Below are 15959 nucleotides of genomic sequence, written 5' to 3' on the forward strand. Positions count from 1 at the left end.
AGCTATGATTAGGGTGAGCTCAGAGCTGAAAGTCAAACAGAAATGCAGATGGAACCAATCAGCCTCAGATTCCAAAGCAGCTGATAAAAGCATAACATACCAAAAAGAATGTTGGTCGCACAGGAAGGAAGCCATAGCCCCTTGCCGTCTGCATTAGGGAGGATTTTAACTTTTTGCTAGTTAATTTTGTAATTTTTAAAATCTTGTATAAGATTGTGCACCATTTGAAATAAGAAAAAAATCTTTAAAAAAATTTTTTTAAAGGAGATAAAGATAATGAAAGAAAGGAGCCTTGAGGACAGTAATTGCCAAACCATACTGCTGAGTTCAATGCCTGGGTGACAGACATTTTACCTGCAAAACACATAAGGTTTTCCTTCTTAGTAAACTCATGCAGGCTTTACTATTAAAACACAGAAGCACTATCGCAGGAAGGACATTGACATAAAGTGCTTTCAGGGCCCTTGAAGCACGGACTTTAATCAATTTTCCTGTGTCTACTGAAGGAGGCTTCAGCTCTTTGGTTTAAAATAACCCAGTGGATGGCCCTTAATTTCAGAAATTGTTCTATGCAGTTTTTTTCTCAGCAGGATGCAGAAAGCAATCCCCACTGTGGCTGAGAGGAGAGCGGGCCTGGTGGGCTCCACTCAGTGGCAGCCAGTGGTCACTTCTGGATCGGTTCCTGGCTGGGGTCCATTGTCCTGACCTGCTGGTCCCACACCCCACAGAGGAAAGTTGCTATTAATACCCTCTTCAGGTCCCTGCAGGAAGCTCGGCCTTCTCCAGATGCCACTTAGGAGTCAATCCTTGTTCCAAAGAAAGAGAGCATAGAATGCAAACTTGTGTCAGGTTGAAGAGGCTGGGGACAGGGGCATCCCAGGCTGCTCATCCACAGGTCATCGTCACTCGGCTCCTAAAGAGTACATCGTCGTGGAGGAAGGACAGACAGAAAACATGATCTGCTGGCTCCAGACCCACACCTCGCTGGCCCCTCTGGCCTCTCCCATCACTCACCTGCAGGGCAACCGCCTCCAGCCCTCACCTGCATTCCTGGGATTCCTGCAGCTACATCCTCCCTGGTCTCCCAGCTCTGCTCTTTTGAGCCTCCACATGGGGCCCAGAGATATTCTTTCATGAAGTGAGTCAGGTGGGAACCACCCAAATGTCTGTCACCTGATGCATGGAGAAATAAATTGTTGTCTGTCCACGTGATGGACTATTCCTCAGCCATGGCAAGGGATGAAGTGCTGGCCCACACTCCGACGTGGATGAACTGAAAACATTCTGCTGAGGGAAAGAAACCATCACAAAAGGCTTGTAGGATTCCATAGATATGAAATACCCAGAATAGGCGAATCCACAGACACAGAAAGTGGTTGTCAGGGGCTGGGGGGAGGGAGGACGTGGCGTGACTGTGCATAGACTAAGAGTCTCTTTTTGGGGTGATGAAAGTGAGCCTGTTTTGGGGGTGATGAAGTTCTGGAATTAGAAAGTGGTGATGGCTGCACAACGTTGTGAATCTACTGAATTAAACACTTTAAAATCACTAAAATGGTGAATTTTATCTTATGTGCCTTTTATACCAACTTTTATTACTTTTTTGAGACAGAGTCTTACTTTGCTGCCCAGGCTGGAGTGCAGTGGCGTGATCACAGCTCACGGCAGCATCAACCTCCGGTGCTCAAGCGATTCTCCCACCTCAGCCCCCTGAGTAGCTGGGACTACACGCGTACGCCATCATGCCTGGCTCATTATTTTATTCTTTGTCGAGACGGGGTCTCTCTATGTTGCCCAGGCTGCTCTCAAACTCCTGTCCTCAAACAATCCTCCCACCTCAGCCTCCCAAAGTGAGATTGCAATCCAATCCAAAGTTGGATTGCAAGCATGAGCGCCAATTTTTTTTTAAAGTAAGCCAGAGCATGACAACACCTAGCATAAAACCGACCAGACCAGAGGCTCCCCCACCTCACCCTAAAGCCTCACCATGACCTACGCGATTCTCCCAGTGTGCTCTCATGCCTGGCCACTTCCCCGGCACCTCCTACCTCCACTGTTCTGTCCCCATGCTCTTCAGCCATGCTGGCTTCCTTGCTGAACCTTGAACTGCCCAAATACACTGCTGACTTGGGGTCTTGGCGTAAGCCATTCCGTTTGCTAGAAACATCTTCCCTGGGTCTTCCCACTGCTTCCTCACTCCATCAGGCCTCATCTCAGAAGCCACCTTCTCTCACACGCTGGGCTAAAATGCCTCCCTCCCCTGGCCCACTGCTCTGCTGTCTGGCCTCCTTCCTTTTCTCTTGGCAACACCCCTCCTGAACTCATACACTTGTTCACTAATGTATGTGGTTGTTTAGAGTCTGTCTCCTGCACAGCAGGTCAGCTCCGCGAGAGCAGGGACCAGGTCTGGTTTTGTCCACTGCAGTATCTCAGTAACCAGGACAGTTCCTGGTACACAGTGCTGAATAGATCCAGTGACATAGCATCGTTTATGTCTAAATTATTAGAAAACCAGGCCGGGTGCAGTGGCTCACACCTGTAATCCCAACACTTTGGGAGGCTGAGGAGGGTGGATCACCTGAGGTCAGGAGTTCAAGACCAGCCTGGCCAACATGGTGAAACCCCGTCTCTACTAAAAATACAAACATTAGCCAGGCATGGGGGTGGGTGCCTGTAGTTCCAGCTACTTGGGAGGCTGAGGCAGGAGAATCACTTGAACTCGGGAGGCAGAGGTTGCAGTGAGCCAAGACAGCGCCATTGCACTCCAGCCTGGGCGACAGAGCGAGACTCCGTCTCAAAAATAACATAAAATAAAATAATAAATAAATTATTAGAAAACCATATTTATTTTGAGTATTGATATTATCAAGTAAGATCATTTGTACCACCTACTACAAGAGACTCATAGACACAATGTTATGGGGTTTAAATAAAGGAAAAGCTTTTCTACCTTGGCATGAGGGGGGCTCAGGGTAGAATGGAAGCCAAGGTGTGTGGCTAGGTAGTCCCTGGGCTGGGGCAGGACACAAGAAGGAATTCATTCGCTCAGGCAGCAAGGGAGCGTGATGCTTCCCTGTGCCCTTGCTGACCCTCATGATCGTCTTTAAAGCTGACCAATTATATTAGGTGACAGTGGCATTTTGTATTAATTAACGCTTCTTTGATTGTTAGTGAGGTTGACTGTTTTTCACATGTATATATTAATCATTTCTATTCATTCTTATAGTTATCTGTAATTGTGTTCATTGCCCATTTTTCCACTGGATGTTTGCAGTTTGTTAATTTGTTGAAAGTGTTCCTTATTAAGACACTGATGCTTACACACACATTTATATACACGTGATACAAATATATAGCATATATAGCAAATTGAAATTTCTGGTTTATTATTTACCTTTTCATTTTAACATCATCTTTAGATATGTAGTCAAATTCTTTTTTTATGCTGTTCTTTTTGCTTCTATATCTAGAAATGTCTTAACTCTAAAAATAGATCAGTATTTATCTTTTTTGTAACTGTTTTTATAATGCAAGAGTATAGAAGATGACACTTTTACTTATAAGTAATAACTTTTATACTTGTGGAATTAATTTTGTTACATAGAAGAACCATATGTACCAAGAATCTTTTAAAAATTTCCCACTGTTAACCCAGCAATTCCATTTCTGCAACCCTCTACGAAGACCTGTTTCTCACCCAGGCACCCCCGAGGCATAACATGAGAAGTAGCAGATGAGATCTGAGGCCTCAGGGTCCCCAGGGCTCATCTCCCTGGACATCCATTGTACTGAAAGCCTTTGCAGGTAGGGCTAAATTAATGACTCATTTCACGGATTAGTAATTGAAGACATTATTTTAACATTAAAACAAATCAGATCACTTTCAAGAAGAAAGCAACATTCTCCTGAAATTCTAAGAAAAAGGTGAAAACCTCAAAGCTTCTCTTTGGGGGATACACTTTGGCAAGATGTTGGAGAATCACTATCCACACCAACAGATCTGAGATATGCGCCGAGATTTATTTACAATGTTCACTGCAGCATAATTGTGCAAAAAAATGGACACAATCTAAATATCCAACAGTAGCAAATTGGCTCAATCAATTATGATATGATCTCATATGATGAACGGGGTCCATTGAAACTGTTTCCATGAAAATAATTTTAGTTGCAATCACTTTTTTCAACATCTAATGTAATCATGAGAACATATTAGAAAAAGTATCGAGCAGGCAGTCAGCTAAAAGGTTCCCAGTGGCAGAACAGCTGAAGGCGGTTCTTTTCTCCTTGATACTTTTCTGAACTTTCATTTGCTCCACAGTGACTTTATGATTTTCTACTCAGAAGAAGAAAGTGTGGGGTTTGTGGCTGCTGTTTGGTTTGGCAGCTCGCTTTGTTTTTGAAAGAGAAGTGGAGCGGAGGGAGCAGCGCTGTTCGTGTAGAGGGCCTTGGGGAGACGCCTGGGAACGGGGCCCCTTCATGCCTTGTCTGCATGTTAGGAATAGAGACGTGAATATTTTTACATCAGTTTTAACACCTTTGCAGGCCTGTAGGTTGGAAATAGCTGGTCAATGTCTGGTGCGTCCCAGCATGGGAGGCGCGTCCCTCTCCAGCCCCATGCGACATTCTCGGGGTTGACTTGGGGTCACAGTTGTCTGCTCCCAGTGTTTGATCAGCTTCATTTCCAAAATGGGTCACTCACAGGGCGGTGTGTGATCATGTGTGCGACGTGGCTCTTCAAAGCTGTTTCCTGGTTGGGAAATCTTCACACACACACAAAGGTCGAGTCTGCTGTCTGTCCAGCGTTGACGGTGCCTGCCACACCTCACGTCTGCACCCTCTCCTGTCCCCGCCTCCGGGCCTTCTGCCCATAGCCAGGTGTGACAGCCAGGGCTGCTGCCTCCCGATCAGGCAGTGCACAGCCCTGGGACCCCCAGGGACACAGACCTAAGGGAAAGTGAGCCCCCAAACCTGCCTTCCAGCCAGCCTGCTTGGAGGAAATGCCCTAGCTTTATTGAACACTTAATTACTTAATAAATATTAGATGATACCATTCTCCACAAAAAAAAAAAAAAAAAAAAAAGATTGAAACCCAGAGAGAGATGGGCAAGTCACGAAAACAAGAATAAAGGGGATTATTCTTCAAGGTAACAGGATATGAAGAGAAGTGCCCCCAGGCTGGTCCGCTGGAGCATTTAGGACAGCAGAAGAGAGGCCTCTTTATAATCTCCCGACCGGAAATTCACCCTCATCGCTCCCAGCTTCACATACAACCTGGAACTCCGGGGGAGATGGGGAAAGCCGGGGGGCGGCCCCTGTGACCTGGCTGACCCAGGTCTCATGACAGAATGTGAAAGACTCCTTTATTTGTAATTCTCAGTACTCCCAAGTTGTAAGCCCCGATTTTACCTACAGGTACCTTTTGAGTATTTAAAGATGTGCCAAGCACACAGTAGAGAAGTATCATAGGTGGAGCCCAGGGCAATGAGCTCAGGCCTGAGTAAATCAGCACCATCTCCCACCAGCTGTGTGACCTCAGGTAGGAGATTCAACCTCTCTGTGCTTCAGACTACACAGCTCCCAAACAGACAGAATTGCCAACCTGCCCCACAGCTATTGTCAGGGTTAAATGAGGGTACATCCATGAAGTGCTCAGAGTGGGGCGCATCCTGAGTGTCACAAAGGTTGGCAGCTGTTATTGTCTTGTTTTGATGGTTGGGTCATCGTCATCATCATCATCATGATGATTAGTATCCCCATTTCGCAGCAGTGAAAACAAAGGCTCAGGTCAGTCTGATTCCAGGGCTCCTTCTTTCTCATCTCCACTTTGCCTCCACCAATAACACCCAGTGGGGGCCCCAGTATGAAATTGTCTAACTCCTTACCTTCTTCACTATCTTTTTTCTTTTTCTGTCTCCTTTCCCCACTCTCTTTCCCATCTGTAAGCCAAAAACCCCAACATCTAGGAAAAGCCAATCATGAAAAAAGTCATCCTCCCACCAATTTGTGCCTCCAGCCCAGACCTCTCTCCCAAGTTCCCAACTTACATGTCCAACAGCCAACTCCACACCTCAGCCTCAGCATCTCACACTCCCTTCGCCCAAGACTAAACTCCTGCTCTTCATACACAACTTGCTGCCTGCAAAGACCTCCCCATCCCCAGTGACGCCATCCTTTTGGCTGCTCCAGCCAAGAGCCCTGGAGTCCCTGTCCATTCTCCTCTTGCTCTCACTCCCTCCTTCCCCTCTTCCAATTGGTCAGGAAGTCCTGCTGGCCCTTCCTTCAAAGTAAACCCAGGAGCCAACCACTTATTATCCTCCCGCTCTGCTCGCTCCTGGATTCCTGAACCAACTTCCTGGCAGTCTCCTAAGGTCAAGTGGCATCTGTCTTCTACTCAGCCTCCTGTGTGGCCCCCATATCACTCAGCGCTAACTGCAGGGGCCTCATCGTGGTCTCCACAACCCTGTGTGATGCCTCGCCCACATCTTCCCTCTTCCATCCATGCCTCCTGTCCCCACCGTAGTGGCCTCATTGCCCCAGCTCAGGGGCTTTGTCCCAGCTGCTCCTTTGCCCTGGAACCCACCTATTGCAGGGAGCTGTTTGGCTTCCCAGCACCTCCTCTAAGCTCATATCCCACCTTCTTTTCCCTCCGGGGCCTACCCTGACCACCTGCAGTGGGTTGAATCACATCCTCCCCAACATTCATGTCCATGGGGAGCCTGTCATTGTGACTTTATTTGGAAATAGGGTCTTTGCAGATGTAATTAAGTTAAAGATTTTGCAATGAGATATCCTAGTTTTAGGGTGAGCCTAAATCCAATGATCGGTGTTCTTATAAAAAGAGGATAATACACACAGAGATACAGAGACAAGGCCATGTGAAGATGGGGACAGAGACTGGGGTAATGGGGCCACAAGCCAGGGAAGCCTGGAACCACTAGAAGGTGGAGGAGGTAGGGAAGGATCTTCCCTAGAGCCTGCAGAGGGAATGCAGCCCTGCCAGCAACTCGATTTTCGATTTCCGGCCTCCAGAAGTGTGACAGGATAAATTTCTGTTGTTTTAAGTCACACAGTTTATGGTGCTTTATCAGGGCAGCCCTAGGACCCAAGTCCACTGTCCTATTGAACATCGAAGCCTGTCCCACCCCTCGATCCCCATAGCCCCATGTCTTCCTGCCAGTCTCTGCCACTTCTTTGTCCTCGTGCAGTTACCACTGCTGGCACGTGCTGTCATTTCTGCCCAACTGTGCTTATTTTTATCAGCCGTCTCCCCACACTGGGACCAAAGGGCTATGAGAGAAACTTCTTTGTCTTGATGAGCCTGGCAGTTCACAGGGCTGAATCAATATCTGTTCAATCAATAATGGAATAATAAACAAACTCCTAAGGAATTGGAAAGGACCAGAAAACCCTTTCAGAATCTACATGAACTCTCCATCTTCCTCCTCAGCCACCTTCATTTAACTTCATCAAACTGACAGCCAGCTTTGAAAACTAATGCTTTCTAGTTTTTGTTCTATTGAGTTTAGTGACAAGCATCGCAATAGTGATTGTATCTACTATACTTCCCTGCACATTCCCTGTGTGGCTGGTAGAATCAATCAGCTCTTCTACAGCAAGATGGAAGAGTACTTGTCACTAAACCCAGGAAGCAGAGGTTGCAGTGAGCTGAGATCATGCCACTGCACTCCAGCCTGGGTGACAGAGCAAGACTCCATCTCAAAAAAAGAAAAGAAAAGAAACACTGCAGAGAGCTGCTGGTGGAAAGCGTCCCTCGTCACGCCCCCTCCCAGGCTCCCCATTGCGTGGGATCTAGTGTGGTGCACTGTGCCCCACCCAGCACAGGCAAAGAAGAGAAACTGATCTTACCAGCCACTCAGGGTCCTTTCACAACCACACACCTCAAAGAAGGATAAAGCCATCCATGAGTAACCCCAAGTCACCATAAGAGGTGCCCTTACTTCAGAGCTAACCTAGCCTCTGGGAGCCAAAAAGAGCAAAGAAAGCCCCAAGACACGGATCTCAGCCCTTTGTCACTGGATGGTGTCCTCCCAGCCTGCTCACTCCTATGGGGCAGGGGGCCAGAAGCAGGGGACAGCTTCCCTCTAAGATCTGCACAAAGAACACTAGGAGGGCATTTGGGCAGTGAGTTGTCACCTACAGATCAGAGGTTGAACGAGCTCACTGGGACCTCCCTTGGCTCCAGTTCACTAAGGAACATGAAATGCTTTAGGGAGCATGGAGTACATATGCTGGGAAGAAAAGATCCCCAGCAAAGCAAGGAGAGCCAGTGCCAACATCGAATGGTGACCGGAAAGGCTAACATCCATTTATCCAGCAAGTCAGGCCGCCTCGGAGTCCTCTGCCTGCCCCAGGCCGCTATTCCCAGGCCAACCCAGGGCCTCTCCTTCTGGTGCAGGGGTTCTCAAGATGGCGCCCCCTCCTGGTTCTAGGTGGGCAAGGGTCAGGCCCTCCTACCTGGGTCCCTCAGTCCTGTCCACGTTCCAGGGTCTCAACCTCAGCCAGGGGCCTGGAGGGGCCTCTTGAGGACACTCATCTGTACCCTGGTCTCCTCTCTAGCTGCCCCACTTTCAGCCTACAGGTTGACTCACTGGGAAATGATTCCTACGTCATTTCCTGCATCCTCTCTGCTTTATGGAGAATCTGTGATGTCTGAACAGGAGGCCTGGCCCTGGGGCCTGTCTCTGACAACATCCCGACTCCTCTGAAAGGTGCAAATGACACGTCCTTCTCTGCAGAACTTCTGTCTTGGCTGGGCTGTGGTAGCCAAAGCCCCTGGGCTTCACGTTCTTCTAGAGAAGTGCCTGCCATGCCCAGCCTAGAAGGCTGGCTCCCAACGCTAAAAGGAAGCTTTTCTCTCTTAAGAACCCAGCTTTGTAAATAAAAGCCTCCTGTGTCGTTATTATTGTTCTTTTAGGTAATTTTTTTCAAGTTGGCATTTTGAAATAATTTCAAATTTACTGAAGAGTTGCAAAAATAATACAGAAATGTCCTATATAAACTTTGCCTACCTCCACCGATGTCTTAAAATTATTAACAGCATTGTTAACACAATCATCCCGTCTTAGCCTCAGTTTCACTTTCTGAGGTTTCAGTTACCCGCCATCAACTGTTGTCCAAAAATATTAAGATATTTTGAGAGAGACAGAGGGAGAGAGAGATCATATTTACATAACCTTTAGTACAGTACATAGAAATCATATTTACATAATCTTCAGTACAGTATATTGTTATAATTTTTCTATTTCATTATTTATTATTGTTATCGATCTCTTACTGTGCCTAATTTACAAATGAAACTTTATCATAGGTATGTGCATATAGGAAAAAAACATACAATGTGTAGGGTCCAGTACTCTCCGAGGTCTCAGGCAGCCCCCGGGAGTCTTGGAACAGATCTCCATGGATAAAGAGGGCTGCCATATTTGAGGAAAGGAAAATGCATGAAGTAACATTTCCAACTTTTGTCTCGTCAACTAAACTGAAACTTTGACACACGTCTATGTAATAGAATGAGAAACATGTGCTTCTGAAACATTTTGAAAGTGATGCTTTTCTGTCAGTACTCAACCCTTTTCTTTCAAGACTCTCATGCTTGAGATATCTACAAAGCCCATATACATTCCTCACCTGCATTTAAAAAGCCGCTACTGTCCATTCCTCACCCTTTGTTGCTTGAGAGCTTCCCCAGAGATGTAAGCCAACCATGCTACCCCTCAGAAGCTAAACAGCACCTCCTTCTTGTAGGAGCTCCTTTAGGGGTGACTCGGGCTCCAACCTAATGGATTTGCACACTCAGGCACTCTCTCGGGGCATGTTCACAGCACATGAAACCTGTCCAAAGACAACTATTAAAATTCTAAAATTCCACCCTCTGTCCAACAAGTTTCTGAACACTTGGTCTCTATGCCTCCCTGCTAAAAACCAAGCTAAAGAGATGAACCATGGATCAATAGAGGTTTGCTTTGCTGAGCCAACTAGTGAGGACTTGGGTTGGTGCCTTTCTGCATTTATCATGGTTACATGGTCATTAAGGGTGACATTTGTTAAAACTGAAAAGTCATTAACCCCAGGGGCAGGACTGCCCCCGGTTCACAGTGGGGCTATTCCCTGTCTAGAAAAATGAAGGGGTTTTAGTTAAAAGGATTTGAGCTGCTTGCCATCTGGATTTTATTTTGCTTTTCTATTATTTTTAAGCAGATTTAATGTTTGAATGGGTAATGCATCTACATGATATCAAAAAGTTTAAGAAGGTGTATATATGAGCAGTTCCTTCCCTTTCCTCTCTCACAGTCACGTTATTCCCACCATGGCCTATGAGTTTCCATTCTTAATAGACGGTTTTATAGTCTTCAAAGGTTACTACACGAATACAAGCAAAGGTATACTCCTGCCCCCACCACAAAGACTGGCACTCTACAAAACTTGCTCTGTGCCTTCATTTTTGATTTAACACTACTTCTTGGAAATTTTTCCCCAATGGTACAAGAAAACACATTTTTGTTTGTTTCAGCCCTATTGTATTCCATTTATATAGACAACATACTTAACTAGTCTTCTCTTAGGGGACAATTACATGGTTGCCAACACTGCAATTATAAAACGACACAAATCTATGTGTCAGATGGTATCTGTTCACTAGCGACTAGGATGGTGCCAGAGGAGGGCACGGAAATGGTAAACAAATCACATGTGGGGGGACCCTCAAAGGCTGTGTCTCAGTTGTGAAAAACAGATTTTCATCAGGCAGTACACATCTATACTCCATTTTACACTTTAGATGGAGCTAAAGATGTTTCCCTCTCCACCTGAGTTCTGCCAGAAATGTGTCTGAGAATTTGCCCCCAGTCTAAGGACATGAAACCCCTTGTTCCCAATATACAAGCATGGAGGGGCACCACAGATTAAAGTAAGATCAATGTTACCAGAACAATAAAAGGGCTCGCTAGCACCTTTAAATTTCCACTAATACTTTATTATTTTTACTCCAAACCCTTTGTTACGTTAAGAGACAGCAAATTCCAAAGAACAAACTAATTTTAGCCAGAGAGAGCACAAGCAACATGCCTATCCGGGAGGAAGTGCTCAGGAAATGATAGCTTCAGATAATACACCACCCATATCCTACTTCCTATAGTCAGAAAAAAAGAGCACTAAAAAGTCCCTCAAAACACACAAAGAAACACTAAAAGGAAAGTCCAATGCCTGCAGCCCACCTCAGTTTCCTTCAGTCCCCAATTTCTAGGTTAATGCTCCAAGATCACAGCCAGACTTCAGGCCCAGGCCTCACCATAGCACTAGATGTTGCTTCTAGAATCAAGCACTGAGTGGCTTCTAGAACTGAGGCACTACATCAAACCTTCAGAAAGGCCAACGCCCGTGGTTCTCAAAGTGTGGTCAGGCCAGGGACCCCTGGGAGTCCCCAGACCCTTTCAGGGTCCCCATAAGGTCAAATGATTTTTATAATCATACTAAGATGTCATCTACCCTTTCCACCCTTACTCTGTAAGTGTGCAGTGGAGTTTTCCAGAAGTTTTGTGATGTGTGGTAGTGCAACAGATTGAGTACAGAGTCAGATAGGAGAATCTAGCCATCTTCCAGCTGTTAAAGAGACTTGAAAAAATGTAAAATCATACTGCTCTTCTTATTAGACCATTTTGCCCTTAAAAATTTAGGGTTTTTTAAATAAAAATGTTATTTATATCAACATGTAATAAGTTTATTATGTTAAATGAATAAATGTTTTTAAATGTCTTAATTCCACTTTCTAATATGGTAAAAAAAAAAATGCTCAGCTTACCATAATACACACACACAAAAAAAAGCTCTTTGCTGTCTTCAATAATTTTTGAAAATGTAAAGGGGTCCCAAAAACAAAAAGTTGAGAACCACTGCCTCTACAAGAAATGAAGGTATGCCGATGATCAGCTCATTACCATGAAGTGCTAGGGGGTCAGTGAGCCTGCTTTCTCAGGTCACTCTTCCCTTCTTCATTTTCCTAGCACACAGCACAGTGCCTGCCCGGGGTGGGTGTCCCATGCATGACAGAGGAAAGGAGGGACAGCATAAGGAAAGCAGGAAGACCTTTCCATTGATTATTATTGAATAACACAACTAAGTCAAATCTAGAAAAACTCTCTGAAAGTAAATGGCAAGTTATTCTGGGTGCCCTGCTTACCAGTGAGGAAAACAGACAAATGGAAAGAGGTGTGGGGATAGATGGGGAAGAGGAGGGACGGGTGCATGTGAATGGAATGTTCACCACCAGCAGGGATTGCCCAGCACATCTGGCCCACCCCTCTTCCCATTCACTGCTCTACAAAGAGCTTCCCCACATCACCCACCACTACCCCCAGCAGTGGGCACCCAAGTGTGTGCAGCTTCCCGGGACCACCCTTCACACCACACACACACATCCTCACCCATGTCCCAAGCATTGAATCCCTGCCCAGCAGCACCACAGCTGCAGAACGGAGCATCTGTGCCAACTTGGATTAAGTGTCCCCATGTGCTCTCAGCCTTCTGCCCCATCTGCACCTCCAAAGCAAGGCCGGAGGGCTGCTCTATCCACTCACCCACCAATGCTGAGTATAGATGGCTTTCTTGTGTGGCCTAATGGATTTGAAGTGATATCTTCTTCTTGTCTTTGCCCCTCTCTCATTCCTAATGAGAGTCTCCTCATATGCTTGGGTATTTGGGGAAGGTTACCTCTCTTGTAAATTACCGTTTCTATCGTTCACCCATTTTCCCATTAGAATTCCTGCTTTCTTTTATCAATGTGTAGGTATTTCTCAGATATTCTTGATTTATTTTAGTTATGGACATAACCTTCTGCAAGCTGACACCCTCTCCAAATCCACCATCTTTCCCTAACTTTGTCTTATGGACAACAACATTTTAACATTTTTTAATAATATCTTTTGCATTTTTGTTCACTAATCCTTTCCCATTCCTAGGACCAAAGATATGATTCTACATTTTTTCCTACTGAATTTATGATTTTACCTTTCACTTTTAGGTCTTTAGTCCAGCTGGAGTCAAAGTTTCTAATGAAGCATTTTTTAATTACAAGACAAACAGGGCAGTAGCCAATTATAAAATCTAGGCATTTCCTCAGCAGTCATGACATGCAGAGGGTCATGGTTTTGAGCCTGTACCTCTGGGGATTGCTCTGCAGGTGTAATGGCTACCTTCATATGTCAACTTGCCTGGGCCATGAGGAGCCCAGATATTTGGTTAAACATGATTCTGGCTGTGTCTATGACGATGTTTTGAAAGAGATGAACGTTGGATTCAGTAGACTGAGTAAAGCAACCAGCTCCCTTATGCCAGTGGGCCTCATCCAATCAGCCAAAGCCCTGCATAGAACAGAAAGGCTGACTTTCCAAGAATAAGGAGGAACTCTTCTCTGCCTGGCTGTCTTCAAGCTAGAGCACCAGTTTTTTCCAGCCTTCAGACTCAGGCTGGAACCACATCCTTTGTTCTCCTGGGTCTCCAGCTTGCCTGCTGCAAACCTCCATGACCACATGAGCCAACTCCTTATAATAAATATAAATCTCTTCATTTAAGGAGCATATGAGATATATGTATACACACACACAAGCACGTACACACACACACACACACACACACACAATCTGTCCTGTTTCCCTGGAGATCCCTAATACAGTGGATATATTCAAAATTCAAGTGGCTGATGGCACTAGTGATGATGATATTTGCAATTCTGGCTGGTGGCACCAGAGAGGAAACTTTAACAGAGCTGTTCCATTCAGACCACCTGGAAGAACATTGTTGTCTTATCATGAACAGCCCCACTGAACACCACCATCTTTGGGCTCATTTTGGTCCATAGTTTCCAATAAAAATGAATGCAGGTTCATATGTGTTAGGAATGGGTGTCACCTGGGAAGTGTGTGAAACACATCCATGTTTCAATAACCGGAGCCTGCAGTCACTAGGACCTGGGTGAGCATTCTGCACACTTCATCCTGTGGTCTCACTGGTGGCCTAAGTTCCCATTCAAGCCTCAATGGAGACACTCCAGGAAATGCTGAGACATGACCAGTGAACACAGAGGGACACATCACACCTGGAGAAGCCTCCCGAAGGTCATTGGCTGAATTTCCTTCCAGCACCAGCTTCAAAAAGCGATTCTTGTGTGACTTTGAGCCCAGGCTTTGCTGGGGAACATGGTGGCAACTTGACTTCTTTAAATCCAACTGAGGCAAAGTCAGACCCACTGTCAGAGACTCTCACTATCAAAGCTGTAGCCAGATGTCAGGTGGAGTTCCCCCTTCCCCTCAGGCCTAGAGGAAGTGGGCCTAAACCCCCAGCTCCATGTGGACTGTGGCAATACCAGGCCCTGTCCATCATCTCCGATGGTTCCTAAGGTTACAGCCTCAGAGTCCCAGTGCCTGGACACGTACTCCTGTATGCACTGTCTCTGTCTCCATCTGTGTTGACCTGGCTGGAACACACAACCTATATATATATATATAACTACATACAACTATATATATAACTATATATATAACAATATATGCATAACTATATCTATAAAATATATATAATGGAATATTATTCAGCCCTAAAAAAGAATGAGATCTTACAATTTGCCACAACATGGATGAGCCTGATAAGCCAGATACAGAGAGAATATTGCACGAACTTACTTATACGTGGAACTCAAAAAAATCAAATATATATATATATATATATATATATATAATGTTTATTTATCCCTTCATCCATTGATAAACACTTGGGTTGTTTCTGTATCTTAGCTACTGTGAATATTATTCCCAATGGCATCTTTTCTCCTAAGGATACTAATCCTATAAGATTAGGGTCTCACACTTAAGACCTTGTTTAACTGTAAGTACCTCTTTAGAGGCTCCAAATATAGCCACAGTGGTTGTTGGGGGTTTAACAAATGCATTTGTGACACACAAACATTCAGCCCACAACATGGTCTTTTACCACTTCATGCTACCTCTCTGCACCAATATATCAACATGCAAAAGTGACATTAATATTTTAGGTATTTTCAGTCACAACATCCTAAACTGAGACTCAGGTCTTCACTGACCTAAACAGTTTTTCATTTAAACTTCTTTTGTTTAACTTTTTCTTATTTATGAAGGAGAGACATTGGAAACACTCAGATGCAGGAATCCAAGTTAGGAAGATAGAGCCAATTGTTTGCTTGATGATTTCCAAGAATTCTTTGTACCTTTGAGCCTCTCTTTCAATTCTCTAACAGGTTTAGATATTACAAATATTTTCTCCCAGTCTGACACTTGCCTCTTCACTTTATCGAAGGTTCCCTATCTTGGACAGAAACTCTTCATTTTAATGTGATCGATAGGATACTGACGTGATCAGGACAGATACATTTGGAAGGACAAAGAACAACTTGCAATTTTCCTTTGATAGGCTAACCCCCACAGTGCCAGCCATGCCCAGTAAATCTATTCCACATTCAGAACACTGTAGACTTAAAATATTCCCAAAAGAATATTGAGACTTCAAATCAATGAAAGATAGGAACAAGAGGAAAATAAGACTTGCTCCCAGCTGTGAAAGACATAATCTTCTAATATACTGGTTCTCTTGCAAAGCAGAAATCATTTTTCTCAGTTCATCGGAGTCATAGGTGTTCTCACCACAGGAGAAAATTTGAAATGCAAGGGGTGGGACTTCACATGGCCAAGTGATTTCATGCAAAAGCTCCTGGGATTCACAGATAGGCAGGGCCTGATTTTTTTTTTTTTTTTTTTAATTTTAGATGGAGTCTCACCCTGTCACCTAGGCTGGAGTGCAATGGCGTGATCTTGGCTCACTGCAACCTCTGCCTCCCAGGTTCAAACGATTCTCCTGCCTCAGCCTCCCAAGCAGCTGGGATTACAGGTGCCCACCACCACGCCCAGCTATTCTTT

At 45.0% G+C, this 15959-nt stretch overlaps 1 long non-coding RNA gene across 2 annotated transcripts in view; it reads right to left on the reverse strand.

Moving 5' to 3' along the window:
* The window catches only part of LINC02943 (long intergenic non-protein coding RNA 2943), a 56010-nt gene that overhangs the window by 1052 nt on the left and 38999 nt on the right, over positions 1-15959 (reverse strand). Inside the window, exons 4-5 of one of the 2 annotated variants that reach the window (XR_001755055.2) lie at positions 1015-1284; positions 749-913 (exon numbers count right to left, since the gene is read on the reverse strand). This is a non-coding gene — a long non-coding RNA (long intergenic non-protein coding RNA 2943). Of the gene's footprint in view, positions 1-748; positions 1285-15959 lie in introns of both variants that reach the window. The other variant, XR_001755054.1, reaches the window with a different exon arrangement.

Source organism: Homo sapiens, chromosome 21 (genome assembly GCF_000001405.40).
Source record: "Homo sapiens chromosome 21, GRCh38.p14 Primary Assembly".
Taxonomy (NCBI): domain Eukaryota; kingdom Metazoa; phylum Chordata; class Mammalia; order Primates; family Hominidae; genus Homo; species Homo sapiens.